Below are 15,621 nucleotides of genomic sequence, written 5' to 3'. Positions count from 1 at the left end.
ATCCCTCCCAAATTCAGGGCGAGGTGGCCGCTTATGTTGAAGCTTCTATGAGGGAAACGAAAGGCTGCGCCTGACTGGGGTCCACAGGTGGATGGAATGCACCTGCTGTTTGTGTTGCTGGAGACTCAGGGCGGTAACGCAGGCCTGGGAACCCCAACCAGCAGGGACAGAGGAGAGCCTAGACCCCCTCTGCAGACAGGTAGCAGTAAGGACATGGTAGAGCACTGTGCATTTCCTGGGTGCAGGACGGAATCATTTGCTTCTGCACTTAATGCCAGATAAACAAACCCTGACCAGGCAAAGCCCAGGACCTCAGCTTAGAGCAACCCACGTCCCTCATCTCCTGTCCTGTCCGCATGCCTCGGGGTGGCGCCGTTGCCTGGCCTCACACTCCTCCTGCAGGCCCACACCTGGGGAGGCCCTGGGCTGCCAGCGAGGCTGAGTCTGCATGAACTTCCACAAATGCAAGAGGTCCCTGAGAAACCCATGGGGGGCTTGGAGTGCCGCCTTGCCCATCTCACTGACATCCTGGCTGCAGCAGAAAGCCGTGCGACTCTCAGAAGACGACCCTGAGAGCCCCGAATTACGTTAGAACCCCAGGGATCCGTGGTTCTCCTTGCAGCAACTCCACCAAATTGGCCTCTTGAACCAAGTGCCGGAACAGCCCAGCCGAGCCCTCTCTTGGAGGCTGCTCAGGCAGCAAGGGGAAGGATTTCCCTGCAGCCCAGTGTGAGGAGCTGCAGCCCCCTCTCCCTGTGCAATCCTGGGAGGAGGCTCGGATGCCAGGGGGCTTTCCAGATCCTTCTGCCCAGCCACAGATCTCCCTGACCTATTCCCAGAGCGTGGAGCCCGGATCCGTGTTAGGGAAACGCTCACCCACTCACGTCCTCAGCTTCCAATGCCAACCTCAAAGGAGGAGCAGCCAGGATGAGGGGGTGCCACTCGCTAGTGAGGAGTTGAGGCCACCTCATGGGAATGCCCCGAGCCCCATGCACGTGGGCGTGGGCTCCCCTCCTCTGCCCCTCTGCAGGGGAAACCGCCTCAGCATCCGTGGCATGCCTGGAGGCGCCGCCTTCAGAAAAGGCCCATGTCCACCCGGCGTTCCCCAAGCTCCCGCCCTTGGGAAGAGCAGCTCTAGAGACCCAGGTCAGCCGTGGCTTTGGGAGGGCGGGGTGCACTGCATGCCCCACTCAGGGGGACAGAGAGGAGCTGAAGGGCCCTCCGGGTCTCTGGTGTGAGCAGCCACCAGGCCAGGCCCAGGGACGGAAGGAGCACACCTGGACGGAACCTGAACCTGGCCCTGTCTCCACAGAACCCCCGCCGTGCCCTGGGGGAGTTATCAGAAGTTCATCTTCAGGAGGGGCGGATGCCTCCTCCAGCCTGCAAAATCACGGGCACATCAGTCCCGGAAACAAGACGGCTCTAACCAGGGGGTTTCGAGACCTGGTCAGTGATCTGACTTCTGGGCTGACCAGCCTTGCAGCTGGTTCTGCATCCAGCTCTCAGCCCCCATGTACTCACAGACCGTCTGCCCCAGGACAGATGGTCAGGAATTTAGCACCAGAGAGGGAGGTGGGGGAGGAGACAGGGCCCTGGCCTCTCTGCATGAGGATGGAGTGAGCAGCTGCCACCTGTCCCCGCGGAGCCCGGGTGGCGTCGGAGGCCCGCACACACATACCCCCTCCCCAGCACACCCACGAGAAAGCCGAGGGCCACATACCGTGGTGGTCTTTATCCTCCCGCCGGGCTGCGTGCACGTCCAGCCTGACCGGTTGATTAACAAGTCGCAGCCTTCCCCCTCCAGACACGGAAGCATGTCACACCACTGCTTGGTCTTGATGATTCTTGCTGTGGGAGAAAAGAGAGAGGCAATCAGCGTGCTACTCTCATGGATCGTGAGGGTGTTGCTGAGGGCACCTGGGTCCTGGCACTGGCTGGGGGGGCCCTCAGGCAATGCCCGGCGTGGCTCCACCCAGGGACCCTCACACAGGGACACTGGGCCCAGGGGCTTTGCCAGCTTCCTGGTCTCCTGGTTTAGTGCTTGCTCCCCAAGTCCCGCTCTGCCATCGGCCAGTCGTGGAGCAGCAAGCAATGATCGAGGGAGCTAGAGACATGTCTGTGAAGCAGAGCCATGGCCCCTCCTGCAGTGTGGCTGCCTCACTGTCTCTTGTCTGGAATCCACTTGAGAGCCAGAAGAAGGCAGGAGGAGGGGGTTCCCAGTCAGGACATCCTCAGATACAGCGAGGGCAGCCTGTGCACAGGGAGGTAACCAAAGGGGAACAAGGGGGCCCAGGCTTGGAGCTCAGAGTGAGGCCAGGCTGGAGATGGGGAGTCGATTTCCCATCCTTGACTGGAGGATTTTACAACCACCCCTGGCCCCCATCCTACTCCCGCCTCGTCTCATCTGCAGATGCCCGGCTGACCCCTGGGGCCGGCCCAGCACCAGCCATGTCAAGCCTCCAAGATTAAAGGATGTGAGTCCTTGTGATGGCCCTTGGACAGGGCAGGGGGCAGGGCAGGGCCAGGTGGATGGGGGCACTGGCTCCCCACCAGCACAAGGACTCTGAAGCCCACATTAACTCCTCCCATGCCAGAGAGAATTGCATTTTCTCTCTTCCCTGGAGGCCCACCCTATTTTGTGGCTGTAGGTGTTAGGCAGACTGGAGATTACTCTCCACCAGAAAGCACGAGAAGGACTTCATGGCGGAGTAAAAGCTGATTGTATTAACATAACCTTCGCTGCGGGAATCTCAAAAGAACGATTAGTCATTTCTCAAACTGGGAAAAAATATGTCCTTCCTAATGCACACATAATTACTTTTATAAAAATTGGACCTACAAACAGGGGTTGCCATCCAGTTGAAAAACGTAGGCATTCAGATCAGATACCAAACACCTGCCCGGCAGTATTTTAGTTCAAGGTTAAGTTATAAACATGCACACTTATATACACAGGATTCTACCACCGACTTCAACCCTATGGCGGGAGATTAGGGAGAACTTTGCATCTTACATGAAAAAGAAGTTTGAAAGTTTGGGTCCGAGGCTCTAGGAGAACGGATGAAGTCACATATCCCCACTGCACTCGCTGGTGAGAGCCAGGCACCCCACTCTACGTGCCAAGTGGATGGACTGCATGTGGCTCGCTTCATGCCAGTGCTGGGAGGGCCAGGGTGGGCCTTTTCCTCCCCTTCCTCGCCCACTCACAGTTCCTCGGGGTCCTCACTGTTCCGAGTTCCTCGGGGTCCTCACTGTTCCGAATAGAGGCTTGGAACTCATCTTGTTGGATGTGGGCAATGCACGCATGAAGCCCCTTCCTGTTTTCCTTTGGGTCCCTCCTTCCTGGGGCTCAATGTTTGATGGGTCCACTGGCCCCAGGATGCAGAGAACCCAGTGTCTGGGCTGCCTCAGTTGCCAGCCCTGCAGAGTAGGGAAGGCCTCTCTGTCACCCACACCAGGCCCAGGCTGCACAGACACCCAGGCCCAGGGCAAGAGTGGCCCCCATGGCCCCCAGCCCCCACCTCCCGTCTGCAGCCCCGGTCCCTTTCACGAAGCTCCAGAGCCCTTGGCTTCCTCCTCTCTCCTGGGTTTTCTATTCCATGTCACCTCTTTTCCTTTTTTTAAATAAAGAACACAACTCTCAATGTGCATAAACCAGAACTGTAGTTCCCCAGGATACCTGTTTACTTGAAAACCTGAAAAAATTTCCAAGATTCCTCGCCATAGGAAGGATATGACAACTACATAAACAGTTGTGCAAATGCACGTGTGTGCACACATGTGTGCTAACATACCGTCCTCCAGACGGGCAGCGGGCTGGCTTCATGGCTATGCAAACAGGCTGCTGCACACGGCTCCAGGTATAGGAGGGCCACCGCTTGGACAACGCTCTGCAGTTCCCAAGTCTTGAAATTCTGAATAATTTTTAACAAGGGCCTTGCATTTCATTTTGCACAGGGTCAGCCAATCATGCCGCTGGACCACAGGCAGTGGCTGTTCCTATAGGAGCAGTGGGCAGCAGAGGACAGGGTCCTGGGGAACAGCTCACTCCTCACCCCACGAGGGCACAGGCCCTGGGGTCATCGCAGGGGAGGCAGGTCTGGGAGGTCAGGGGCCCTCTGGAAGACAGACAAAGGGACAGCATCCCAGGCAGAATGAATGGGTTCTCGTCCTCAGTTCCGACAAGGGGGGAGGAGCTGCCTGAAGCCTGCATGACTGCAGTGGAGAGGAGTCTGAGATGGGCTGGTCATGCCTGCCACAGCACCCACGGCAGAGGACGCTGTGGGGTGCTGTGTCCCAGCCAGTCCTGCCCCACCCCACCCCCGGCACCTTCACACCCACAGCCAGGGAGGCAGGCGTCCACCAGCCGGGCATGGCTACCCCCAATCCCTTTCCAGGTCAGTGCTAGGGATGCAATATCCTCTCAGTGCAGCCTCACCCCTGGATTTGGAGATGGGGCCTTCAGAAGGTGAAGAAGGTTAGATGAGGCCATGAGTGTGGGGCCCTGATCTGCCAGGATTCCTGTCCTTAAGAGACTCCAGAGAGTTCAAGCATGTGTGCTCGCTGTCTCTCTTTCTCTGTCTCTCTCTCTCTCCCCTCCCCAGCCCCCTGCACCATCTCAGGACACAGCAAGCAGATGCTGCCTAGAAGCCAGGAATCAGATCCTCACCAGGAACCAAACCTATCAGCACCATGATCCTGAATGTCCAGCCTCCAGAACCGTGAGAAAATAAACGTGTGTTGTTTAAGCCCCTCAGTATGCGGAGTTTTGCTACGGCAGCCTGAGCCGGCTGAGACAGCCAGGAGACCAGGAGACATGGGAACATCCCTCGTTCACCTGAAGAGTCAGGTGAGGAAACTCCAGCTGAGAATCAGTGTCTCCCTCCGAGAAAAAGCAACTGTGCTCCTTGCCACTAACATGGCACGTGGGGATAGGGAACCCCCCGGCTTCCCAGGGCGACTCCAGGAAGAACAAGCCACCCAGGCTGCAGCTCCCAGGCCCTCAGAGGGTCCCAGCCACCTGCTGCACGTCCACCAACCCCGAGGGACAGCGCTGAGAGAGGGGATGGCGCCATGAGTGGGGATGGCCGGAATCTGTCATGCGTCTTCCCGGGGCCCCTTTTCTTGTCTGTTCTATTCCTGCAGAAAGCCACCAGCAGCTGTGTCTCCCATCCCTGATGCATCGTGTTGGGTAACAGTAAATATGGTAGAAAATCTCAGACACCCACAAACACGAACCTTAAACCCACGAGGAAGCTACAGGATGAAACACACATGCCCCAGTAGCAGAAATCCCCTTGCAATGCCTGAGAAAAGAGCTGGACAAATTACAGAAAGCATCGTGTGTGTGTGTGTGTGTGTGTGCGCGTGTGTGTTGAGGGTGTGTTTCTCTAGCACCAACACTGAAGGACATGAAAGGAAGAGGCTCCAGTGTGGCTTAAAAGAAATCCCCACGTGGGCTCCCATCCACCCCGTACCATGGCGCCCAAGGTAGTCTTTAGTGCAATGTGGCTCCTGCTCTCATCTTGAGCTGAACGGGGCCTCAGAAACCCCCTGGGGTCCCCAGTGCCTGTCCTGTTCTGCCCTAACAGCCAGAAGCAGGGACTGGGCTGTCTCAGGTGAAGTGAGCCCTTCAACTGCAACAGGGAGATGTTTCTGCATCTGCCCGGGCCAGTTCTGGCACTCTCTGCAGCACAGGGCAGGGCCTGGGCCAGCAGGAGTGGGGTTGGCACAGACCAGAAAACCCGGGCAGTGTGGGTGGTGTCCGAGGGCAGGTCCTGACCTGCCTGCAGGGCAGGCTGTGAGAGGGTGGACAGGAGGTGGCCTGGGCCCAAATCCTTCACTACCGAGCTCAGCTGGGACCTCATGCCCACCACGAAGCTCATGCTCTGGGCTGGGAAATCCCGGGAGAAGGACGCTGAGGGTGGATACGGCGCAGGCCACAGCGCACTACCCAGCACAAGGCTCGGCTGGCCAGAACCTACAGGCTGTGTTGTTGGGGCCCTCTCGGTCAGGCTAGGATGCAAGCCACCAGAGCTCACTGGGACTGTGGGGCTGAGGATGGGGGAGGGATCTGGGGTGATGTGCCAGCTTTCAGCATCTTGGACACACACCCTCTCCAGTGCCAGGGCCCAGCCCACTGGCTGTCTACGGAAAGGACCCTCATCCCTGCCAGACATGATGTGGTACTATGCACGGTGGTGCTCAGGGTCACCTGAAGGAGAAGAAGGAAGGACGGCGGGGTCCGGGGGGACTTAGGCTGGTGAAGGTGGCTCCAGCCCTGCCTATGCTGTAGCTGCCATGCCTGGCCACACACCACACACACATGTACACAACACACACACGTACACATCACACACATGTATACACCACACACCACACGCAAAGGCATGCAGGCACACACACAGGCACACACATGCCCATTTACATGCATGCTCACAAACACGTATCTATAGGTGCAGCACACACGCACACATGCACACACGTTCACGCACACACATGCATGCACACACACAGATATGTATCTGCACATGCACCCACATGTACACTCTCGCCTGCTCTCAGCATTTGCAGAACAAAGGGACAAGCAGGCAGCAGGCCTGCCCCGTCCCTGGGCCTGGCCCTCCCGAGGGCACCAGCGGGCCGGCCCTGAGCACACAACACCTTTTGTTTGACGGCAGGAGCTGGGCTCACCCACCCCAGCCCACTTCCTGCTGGAGACGGTCAGAGGCACAGCGCCGGGCCACCATGTCCCGGGGACAAAGGGGCCTTTCAAGCATACATTTCACAACTCCCTTTCCCCGGGCTCGGGTGAGGAGGCCTCCCCTCTGGTCGCAATGTTGCAATAGCTCTCAGGGAAGGGAAGCGGCGTGCCCAGGGGCTGACAGAGCTTCCTGAGGTAGCGTGAGTGACGGTGACTGAAACGTGGGCTCTGGGCAGACAAACGTCATTACCCATCCACAGGGGCTAACCTGGGGGGTCCTGAGCACACGACAGGTAAAGGGCACGGGGCGTAAAGGGCACAGGGTCTCATGCGTATTTATGTCTGCAGTGCCTGTCCCCGGGCCGGTAGGAGCAGGTGCTTAGGACGTGGCTGGAGAAGGGAGCCAGGGAGCCCCTGCCTAGGATAGAAAGGGGGCATAGGAGTGCGTCTCAGAGTGGGTTTGTCCAGACTGGATCTAGAGTCTCACCGATCTCAAGCCTCTGTAGGACCCCACAGCCCCCGAGTCCCAGCCCAGCCAGGCCCTGGGCCAGCAGTGCTCTTTCTCTGCCTGGAAACACTTCTCTAAGGTGCCAGTCAGCCCCATCTTCCATCCCACACCATGCTCTCCATCACGTACATATATGCCATTCACATATGTAGACACAGGCACACACATACATACCACACTCAGCCACATGTCCACACACAAACGCACACACGCACACACACACACTCACACACAAGTCCACTGTGTGCCCTCTTGCAGACTAACCACACATGCGTATCATCCCCGGGGCCACCTGGCTCCCTGGCAATGAGTCCCCAGGTCTACAGAAGGGCTTGGCTCCTTCCACCACCCCAGGTCCCCTCTGTGTGTACATTCAAGCTGCCTCCCCAGACAGAGGCCAGCTCCCGCTCCAAGGCCCCCCAGTCCCCGGGATGACGCAGCCGCTGCACCTAGACCCTCGTCAGTGGCAGCATAAAAACCTTGGGCTCCAGGAGGGCAGAGCGCAGAGGACGCTGCCCAGTGCGGGCTGGGACTGTGTTTCAGGGGAGGGAGGCAGCCAGGGGAGGGCAGGAGCCGGGCTCTCCTTGAAGTCTCCGAGAGGAGCAGGCCTGGTGACCCTGCAAACAGCATGGGGAAGAAAGGGCTGAGATGTGGGCGGGGCCTGGCTGGCCACAGGTCCTCCGCACAGCCTTGTTCAGGCTCCCAATCAATTTGCCGAAAGTCCAACTTGCCAAAAACGGTTGGGCGACCCTTGAATGGAGTTGAGGACAGAACAGTGTGGCTGTTTGGGTGACAGGGACCGAGTTAAAGGGGACTTCAAAAACCCCATCTACACAAAGGCCTGGGAGGAAAGTTTACCCTAGGAAAGGCAGCTGAGGGTTGCGCCGACTCCCAGCGGGCAGGCAGGGTCCCAGGAGGGCGGCCCACAGCACCTGGGTGGACCCGTGCAGGAGAGGGTGTGCCACGTCCTCAGTGTGGGGACACACACCAGTGCCTTAGAGGAGAGCCCTCCCTGGGAGCTGCCACCCAGCTTCCTCTCACCACGCCTGCATCTACAGCTCTAGACACAGCTGGAGGACACGCATGCAGGGTGGAGGGAGGGTGGAAGCCACCTCTAGGTCCGGCTGCAAAGGTCATCTCTGCAGACAGGGGCCTCTACCCTCTGCCCCATGTCCTCTACTGGATGGAAGGAGCCGGTCCTGAGACACCCACTCGAGCTGTGTGCCGCCTCGGGCACCCACTGAAGTGGGACAAATACACATCCATTGTACCAGGCCCTAGGGATGAAGGGCTGCGGGCCTCTCCACAGCTGGCAGTGCTTCTAGTAACAGCCAGAGGGCTCTTCCCATCCTCTCCTCCCCAGCCTGAACTTGGGGGACGAGAAGCAGACAGCTGAGTGGGGTTCTCAGCCTGAAGTAGGGCTGGGCAGATGGCATGGGAGGAGCTGTACCGTCAAAATCCAGCAGGGTGTGTCTGTTACGTGGGATCGGACATTTGAACTTGTTTGCCATACAGGATCAGACATCTGAACTTGTTTGCTATAACAGGATCGAACATCTGAACTGCTGAAGTGGGACGGCTCTTGCTACTGAGTGTCCTGAGAACCTGTGATGATCTCAGAGCTGCCAGACAAGCTCTCATCCGGCCTGCAGACAGGACGAGCCCTGCCCCTGGAGTGCGTGCACACAGGTGCCCACAGGCAAACATGCACATCCACGTGCACACTCACGTGTACCAAGAAGCAGGTCACAGTGGCACCCCCACTCCCGAGGGAGAAGAAACCCAGGCCCGCTTCCGCTCCCCTCCTTTCCTACCCAAGGGGCACCCCCAGACCCCAGTCTCCTTAAGACTCTACTGGCTTTGGTCAAAGGGCTGCTGGATCCTGAGACCGTTCTTTTTCAGGATCTCTCCCCCAGCCCCTGCCGGCCTGCTCTGCCCCGGGAGCTCTAGTCGTACCTGGGTACACTCTCCCCGGCGAGGTCAGGCTCTCACGGCCTAGTGTGTGTGGAAAGGCCGATGCCTACCCCACCCCACCTGCTAGCTTCCAGCTCCTTTCCTTGCACCCCTGCCCTGAAGCTGGAAGGCGACCTCTGCTGTCCCCAGCCCCCTCCTATGTTCCTAGGGGCAGCTGTCTGGGACACGAGTTACTTGTTCTGGAACATTGACTGATTCGATGAAAGAAGGGTTTCGGGATCCAGCAGCCCTGTGACCAAATCCAGCACAGTCTTAAGTGTGATCTGGAGGGACACTTATTTCCAAATGCTGTCCCAGGGGCCCATGTGTGTGAGGTGGGGTGTGTGTGTGTGTATATGGTGTGTGCGTGTACTCGTGCACATTCATGCAGACATCACATCCAGCAAAGGCCCATCCACTCCCAATACCCCGTGTAAATTCCAACAGGAAGAAGAGGCAGGAGCTCAATGTGTCAGTGGGGTGTGCGAGCTGCTCTCTGGGGCTGTGGGTGGTGCACCCAGGGCCACACTGTGTGTGCTTCCCGCCTTCCCTCTCCCCGTCTCAGAGCAGTTCATCAGGAGTAAGTGCAGCAGTAAATATGCAATGAACATTTCTTCTGTTCGCAGTCGCTGCAATAATTGGATTATTCCCGTTTAAAGCTCCGCTTACTCACGCTGCAAGGCAAAGCTTGTCTTCACCCGAAAGAGACATCTTAGGCAAGTTATCAGGAACCCGCTCATAAAAGTGCCTTCCAGGAGAGCTCTGGGTTAAATATAAGGCGTGATGACAACAAACAAAGCCACGTGATTATTAAGACGCCTTCATGCGACACGTCCTTAAGTATGTAAGAGCAGAGCTCACTGAACGGAACGCGGGGAAATGTATACACACGGAGAGCCAGCAGGTACATCTCTCCACCCTGGAGCTCACTGCCAGTGCCCTGTCACCGAGAAGCATCTGCCCTGCAAAACGCGTGCTGCAACTTTAAATGTTATTGGTTTCGCTGTTTTGTGTTTGCTTTTAAATAGGCCTCAGTTTATTTGGTTTATTCCAGTTTTACCGCCTGGTAAGGGCTCCCAGCTTTGTGTGCGTTCATAGTCCTGCAACATTGTAATCAGAACAATGAAGGTCAACAGTAGGGTGGGTCTTTCCCTTAAAAGGCGTTGTCAGCAGGGCACGGTGGCTCACGCCTGTAATCCCAGCACTTTGGGAGGCCCAGGCTAGTCGATCACCTGAGGTCAGGAGTTCGAGACCAGCCTGGCCAACATGGTGAAACCCCGTCTCTACTAAAAATACAAAAATTAGCTGGGCATGGTGGTACATCCCAGCTACTCAGGAGGCCGAGGCAGGGGAATCACTTGAACCTGGGAAGCAGAGGTTGCAGTGAGCCGAGATCATGCCACTGCACTCCAGCCTGGGGGACAGAGTGAGCCTTGGTCGCGCCAAAAAAAAAAAAAAAAAAAAAAGCATTGCCACATTACTTAGGTCTGAGGAACAGGGCTCTGGGCTGGTCAGTAGAGCAGGAGGCACAGTTAGTGCTGGAGCTTGTTGCAGGGCCAGGCTGGAAGGGTCTCTCGCAGGTAAGCGCACAGCCCCGGCCACGCACGGGGCCTGTAGAGCCCAGACGGGCTGCACCCCGAGGCTGCGGAAGGGAGGCCAGGAGGCACCCGCTGTAGGGCCAGAAAAGCTCGCAGGACCTCCCCCTGACCCCCAGGCACCCTCAATCTACATACTCATCCTTGCTCAGCTCCTGGGATGCTCCTATGAACAGGTGGGAGCCTCTGTTCAAGACGACACCTGAGGAATGTGCCCCACTCAGGTCAGCCTCCCTGCATGGCACTGGCATCCCTCCCATCATGGGTAGAACCCTGTGCTTCAGCTTCCTCTCTCCCAGCTCAGCTCAGTCAGCTCTCCCTATCATCACCTTCACTACCATTACCATCATCATCATCACCATCACCACCACCACCATCACAACCACCATCATTATCACCATCACCACCATCACCATCATCAACTGATTCCCTTCCCTTGGCCTCCTGAGTAGCTGGGATGCACCACCACACCCAGCTAATTTTTGTATTTTTAGTAGAGATGGGGTTTCACCATGTTGGCCAGGCTGGTCTCGAACTCCTGACCTCAGGTGATCCACTTGCCTGGGCCATCATCATCACCACTGCCATTATCATCACCATCATTATTGTCACCATCATCATCACCACCATCATCACTACTATCACTATCATCATCACCATCACATAATCATAACCACCACCATCGCTATCATCACCACCACCACCACCACCATTATCACCACCATCACCATCACCATCATTATGACATCATCCTAACCACCACCATCGCCACCATTATCTTCACCATCATCGTCGCACCATCATGCTCACCATCCTCACCATCCTATCAACAGGACCATCATCACCATCATCATCCTCACCATCACACATCATCACCACCACCACCATCATCATATTGTCATCACCACCATCATCATGACAATTATTACCATCACCATCATCATCATAACCACCACCGGTATCCTCACTATCACCAACATCACCACCACTACCATCTCATCATCATCACCATCATCATCACCATCATCATTTTATCACTGTCATTACTATCATCACATTATCATAACCACTACCATGATCATCACCATCACCAACATCATCATCAATTGTAATCATCACCATCACATTATCACCATTAGCACTATCACCATTACCATCATCACCAACACTACCATACTGTCTTCATCACCATCATCACCACCACCATCCTCAACATCACAGTCATTATCACCGTCATACTACCACCACCATCACCACCATGATTATCATTGTTGTCACCATCACCATCAATGTCATTATCATAACCTTCATTATCACCATCACCAACATCACCATCATCATAAATACCACCACCATCCTGATCCTCATCATCATCTTCCTCATCCTTGTCATCATCACCATCACCCTAATCACATCATGACAACCACCATCATCATCGTCATCATTATCATCATCATCATCATCACCACTGTCACCATAACCACCATCTCCATCGTCAGCAGCTACCTGGAGTGACTCCCTCCCTCCTGTGCCATACACATGGCTGCCCTCATTCCTATGGCAATTCTAGGTGAAGGCTCTCATCCTTAGCTCATTTCAGGTATGAGGATGCTGGGGTTCAGAGAGGGATAATAAAGCAAGCCCTAACTGCACCCCAGTGGCCTGTCTTCTTTCCAGTCCAGGTTCCTCTCTTCTTGGATCCTCCCCAGTAGATTACAGCTCAGAACTTCCATCCCTGTGCCCAGGGAACATGTGCCTGGCACGCCATCTTCCCCATCCCTTCAAGGAAGCCCTTTTGCCCCTGGTTTCTCATCTAACCCAAGCAGCAGGGGAGCTAGCATGCTACCATTGGGGCTCCAATAAGGAGTCTTGGATTTCCAGGGAGGTTTTCGGTCTCCCTGAGACGGGAGCTCCCTCCTCGTATCCTAGGGCCTTTGCGCGACTGTGCTGTGCTGGTTAGAAGCTGGAATGATGCAGGCCAGGCCTTGCACACACAACCTGCGTCTCATGTAGCACAGGGTTTGGGCTCAGAGGTGGCTCTGCAGGCGCAAACCTCATTCCACCCTCATTTCCTGGCTGAGAGATTTTGAAGGCAGCAAGGACAGCAACAGTGGTATGGGGGTGAAGGGGTGTCAGACCCCAGCCATCAGCTGCCTGGACACCTGCAGGGATCCTTCAGGGTTTCCCCTCTCCGGAACCTAGCTCTGCAGTTGGGGGGAGCTCCGCCCTCCAATGGGAGCCCAGGTGGCTGCCACCCATTCACTCCGGGACCCCCCTGCAGGTCAAAGAGGAAGTGCTGGCATCTGAAGCCCCAGACCTTCACCTTCACCTCCTGTCCCTGGGCAGGGCACTCAGGGGCCCCTCAAAGTTCCTGAGGAAAGGAGGGAGGGAGGAAAGGAGGGAAGGATGGAGGGAAGGAGTGAGGAGAAGAGGGAAGGATGGAAGGAAGGAGTGAGAAAAGAGGGAAGAGTGGAGGGAGGATAGGAAGGGACAGGAAGGCACCTGCTATGCTACATCTGGCCGGAAAGGTCATAAACGCAGAGTGCTGAGAAATGCGCAAAGCCACAGCGTCTGCAGAGCTCAGGCCCGGGTGGCTGGCACAGTCTCCTTCCTCCCCAGCCTCAGTGTGGGTGTGCAGGGGTCTGAGGGTGGGCAGCCTGCGCCACTTCTCCCATGGCACCCGCCCATCGAACCCCGAGACTGGGATGTACAGCTCTGATTTCACATGCCTCTGAATTCTACGGACCAGGGGTCCGGGGCAGGTGGGGTTGAGGGTCTGAGTGGACCCCAGTTGACCCAGCTCATCGAAGTCCCAAACAGCCTATATGCTCTCGAGTGCTGACCCTCTGCGTCCTGTCTGTGTGGTGGTCAGCAGGATGGCTGTGTGGCCCTGTGGTGCTTGAAAGCCCTACACTAGGGACTGAGTGATGCTGTATGCAGAACTTGAAGCCAGCCACGCTGACTCCCCTCGCCAGGACTCTGGTGACGCCAGAGGGCCCGCCTATTTTTTTCCAGCACCAGGAAGCCCCAGCCAATCTCTCAAAGAGTCGGCAGCTCAGGAAGGTGCCCCTGCTGCCCACACCCTGGCCAGGTGCCCTTGCCCACCCCCAAACCTGAGAACCACACAACCCATGAAACCCATGAAGAGAAGCCAATTGTCCATAGGACTGTTCCTTGGTCTGACGTCACAGGGAGGAACATGCTGGCTACTCCAGGGGAACAGACAGACAGGCACAAGTGGTGCTCCTTTGCCTGAGACCGTGGCCATAACATTACTCAGCTCAACACCCAAGCCCCGAGGTGCTCATGAACGGCAGGCTTCCCTTGGCAATAAACTTTCCTCATTTCCATTAACACAGAGTTGCTTGCTGTACTCAACAGCTTGGAAAAATGAATCATCCAGAACAAAACCAGTGAGATTCCAGGAGAAATCTTTGGGCATTTACTCAGATATCGTCAGAAACACATCTCAGCTGTCTGAGCTGGGGAGGCTGCTCTCCCTGGCAGTGTCTCACCCAGAAGAGTGTCCCTCGAGTCTCCCAGATCTGGCTGGTGATGGAGGATTCAATCAACAGCATGGGAAAAGGAGTGGGCAACGTTAATACAGACAAATACATACAAATCACACACACACACACAATGTGCACACATACACAAATGCACAAGCACTCAATGCAGACACACAAAGACACACACACCACCTGGCCTCACGAAGTCAAATGGAAATGGGGTATCTCAGAGGTACCACAGAAGAACCCACAGGCAGTAAGTCCTGACACAGGCACTGAGGACGGTCACTGTGAAACCATCTCTGCAGGGCACGTTTGAAGCTCACAGGAGGGCTCAGGGCTCCCGTTTCTGCCCGATGGGAGGCAGCACTTTGAGGCCTGACCTCCCCAGTGGTCCCAGCCTGGGGCAGGAAGGCTCACAGGCAGGTGGGGGTGGAAGTCTGGAGCGGCGGGGGGTGGGGGCGGAGGTCGGAGCGGCGGCGGGTGGGGGCGGAGGTCTGGAGCGGTGGGGGGTGGGGGAGGAGGTCTGAGCGGTGGGCAGCCCTTGGTGGTCTTGGAGCTGCTCACAGGCAGCCTCCCCCTGTAGGTCAGCCCTTGCCAGGGCACTGTGGCCCGGGGACACAGAGAACATCAGATGAGGCACTGCCCGGGAGCAGTACCAGATACCCACAGGCTTGGTGACTTGTGACCAGCACATGGGGCAGGGAGGAGGCTTTTGGGGTGAGCGGACACAGCCGGGCTTCCTGGGCTCAGGGCTCAGGAAAAGGCAAACAGGCCCAGAGCACTGGCTGGGAAGCGCCCGTGTTTCTGGGAGGAGTCTCTGTCCCACACCTCCAGAAGAGCCTCCTGCACTCCGGAAGGGCCCCACTCGAAACGTCAGAGCCCAGACACACCAGGAAACGCGCAGGGTGTCCCAGCAGTGCCAGCCTTCCCTGGGGCTATGCCACACAGTCATTTCTACGTATTTGTGTGTATTAATGTTGACCACCCCTTTCCCCAGCTTTCTGAGCGTTGGGGCCCTTGGACAGCTGCCGACTGTCAGGGCCGCCCTGCTGGTCCTCCCAGGGACTGGTATGCTCATTTATTACTGGAATTTTATTATTGATTTCTACCTATGGGGAATCAATTAGCTTCATCTTCACATTACAGAAGAGGACACAGAAGCTCAGAGAGCTCAAGAAGTCTGCCCAAGGTCACACGGCTTACAAGCGGTGATGCTGGAACATGGATGCAGTCAGCCTCCGCGTGGCCTGTGGGCAGGGACCTCAGAGGGGCCCACGGGCTTCCTGAAGAAAGAGGAGAAGCCGACAGCCCAGTGGAGATGCTGAATCGTCTACAGAAGACAGGAGGGTG

The 15,621-nt window shown here is 56.7% G+C and overlaps 1 protein-coding gene across 2 annotated transcripts in view, besides 2 other annotated features; it reads right to left on the bottom strand.

Moving 5' to 3' along the window:
• Nucleotides 1-15,621, bottom strand: part of TAFA5 (TAFA chemokine like family member 5) — a 262,380-nt gene that overhangs the window by 42,368 nt on the left and 204,391 nt on the right. For both annotated transcript variants that reach the window (NM_001082967.3, NM_015381.7), the window contains exon 3: nucleotides 1,721-1,848. In NM_001082967.3, the coding sequence (NP_001076436.1) occupies nucleotides 1,721-1,848 (128 nt within the window). The remainder of the gene's footprint in view (nucleotides 1-1,720; nucleotides 1,849-15,621) is intronic.
• Nucleotides 7,375-7,882: an enhancer, noted in NCBI's record as "H3K4me1 hESC enhancer chr22:49097495-49098002 (GRCh37/hg19 assembly coordinates)". NCBI's record gives its function as "activates a minimal SCP1, AML or CMV promoter by ChIP-STARR-seq in naive H9 embryonic stem cells {active_cell/tissue: H9 hESC(naive)}" and the evidence as "EXISTENCE:reporter gene assay evidence [ECO:0000049][PMID:30033119]".
• Nucleotides 7,883-8,390: an enhancer, noted in NCBI's record as "H3K4me1 hESC enhancer chr22:49096987-49097494 (GRCh37/hg19 assembly coordinates)". NCBI's record gives its function as "activates a minimal SCP1, AML or CMV promoter by ChIP-STARR-seq in naive H9 embryonic stem cells {active_cell/tissue: H9 hESC(naive)}" and the evidence as "EXISTENCE:reporter gene assay evidence [ECO:0000049][PMID:30033119]".

Source organism: Homo sapiens, chromosome 22 (assembly GCF_000001405.40).
Source record: "Homo sapiens chromosome 22, GRCh38.p14 Primary Assembly".
NCBI lineage: Eukaryota > Metazoa > Chordata > Mammalia > Primates > Hominidae > Homo > Homo sapiens.
This window is presented reverse-complemented; position numbering and strand designations above follow the sequence as displayed.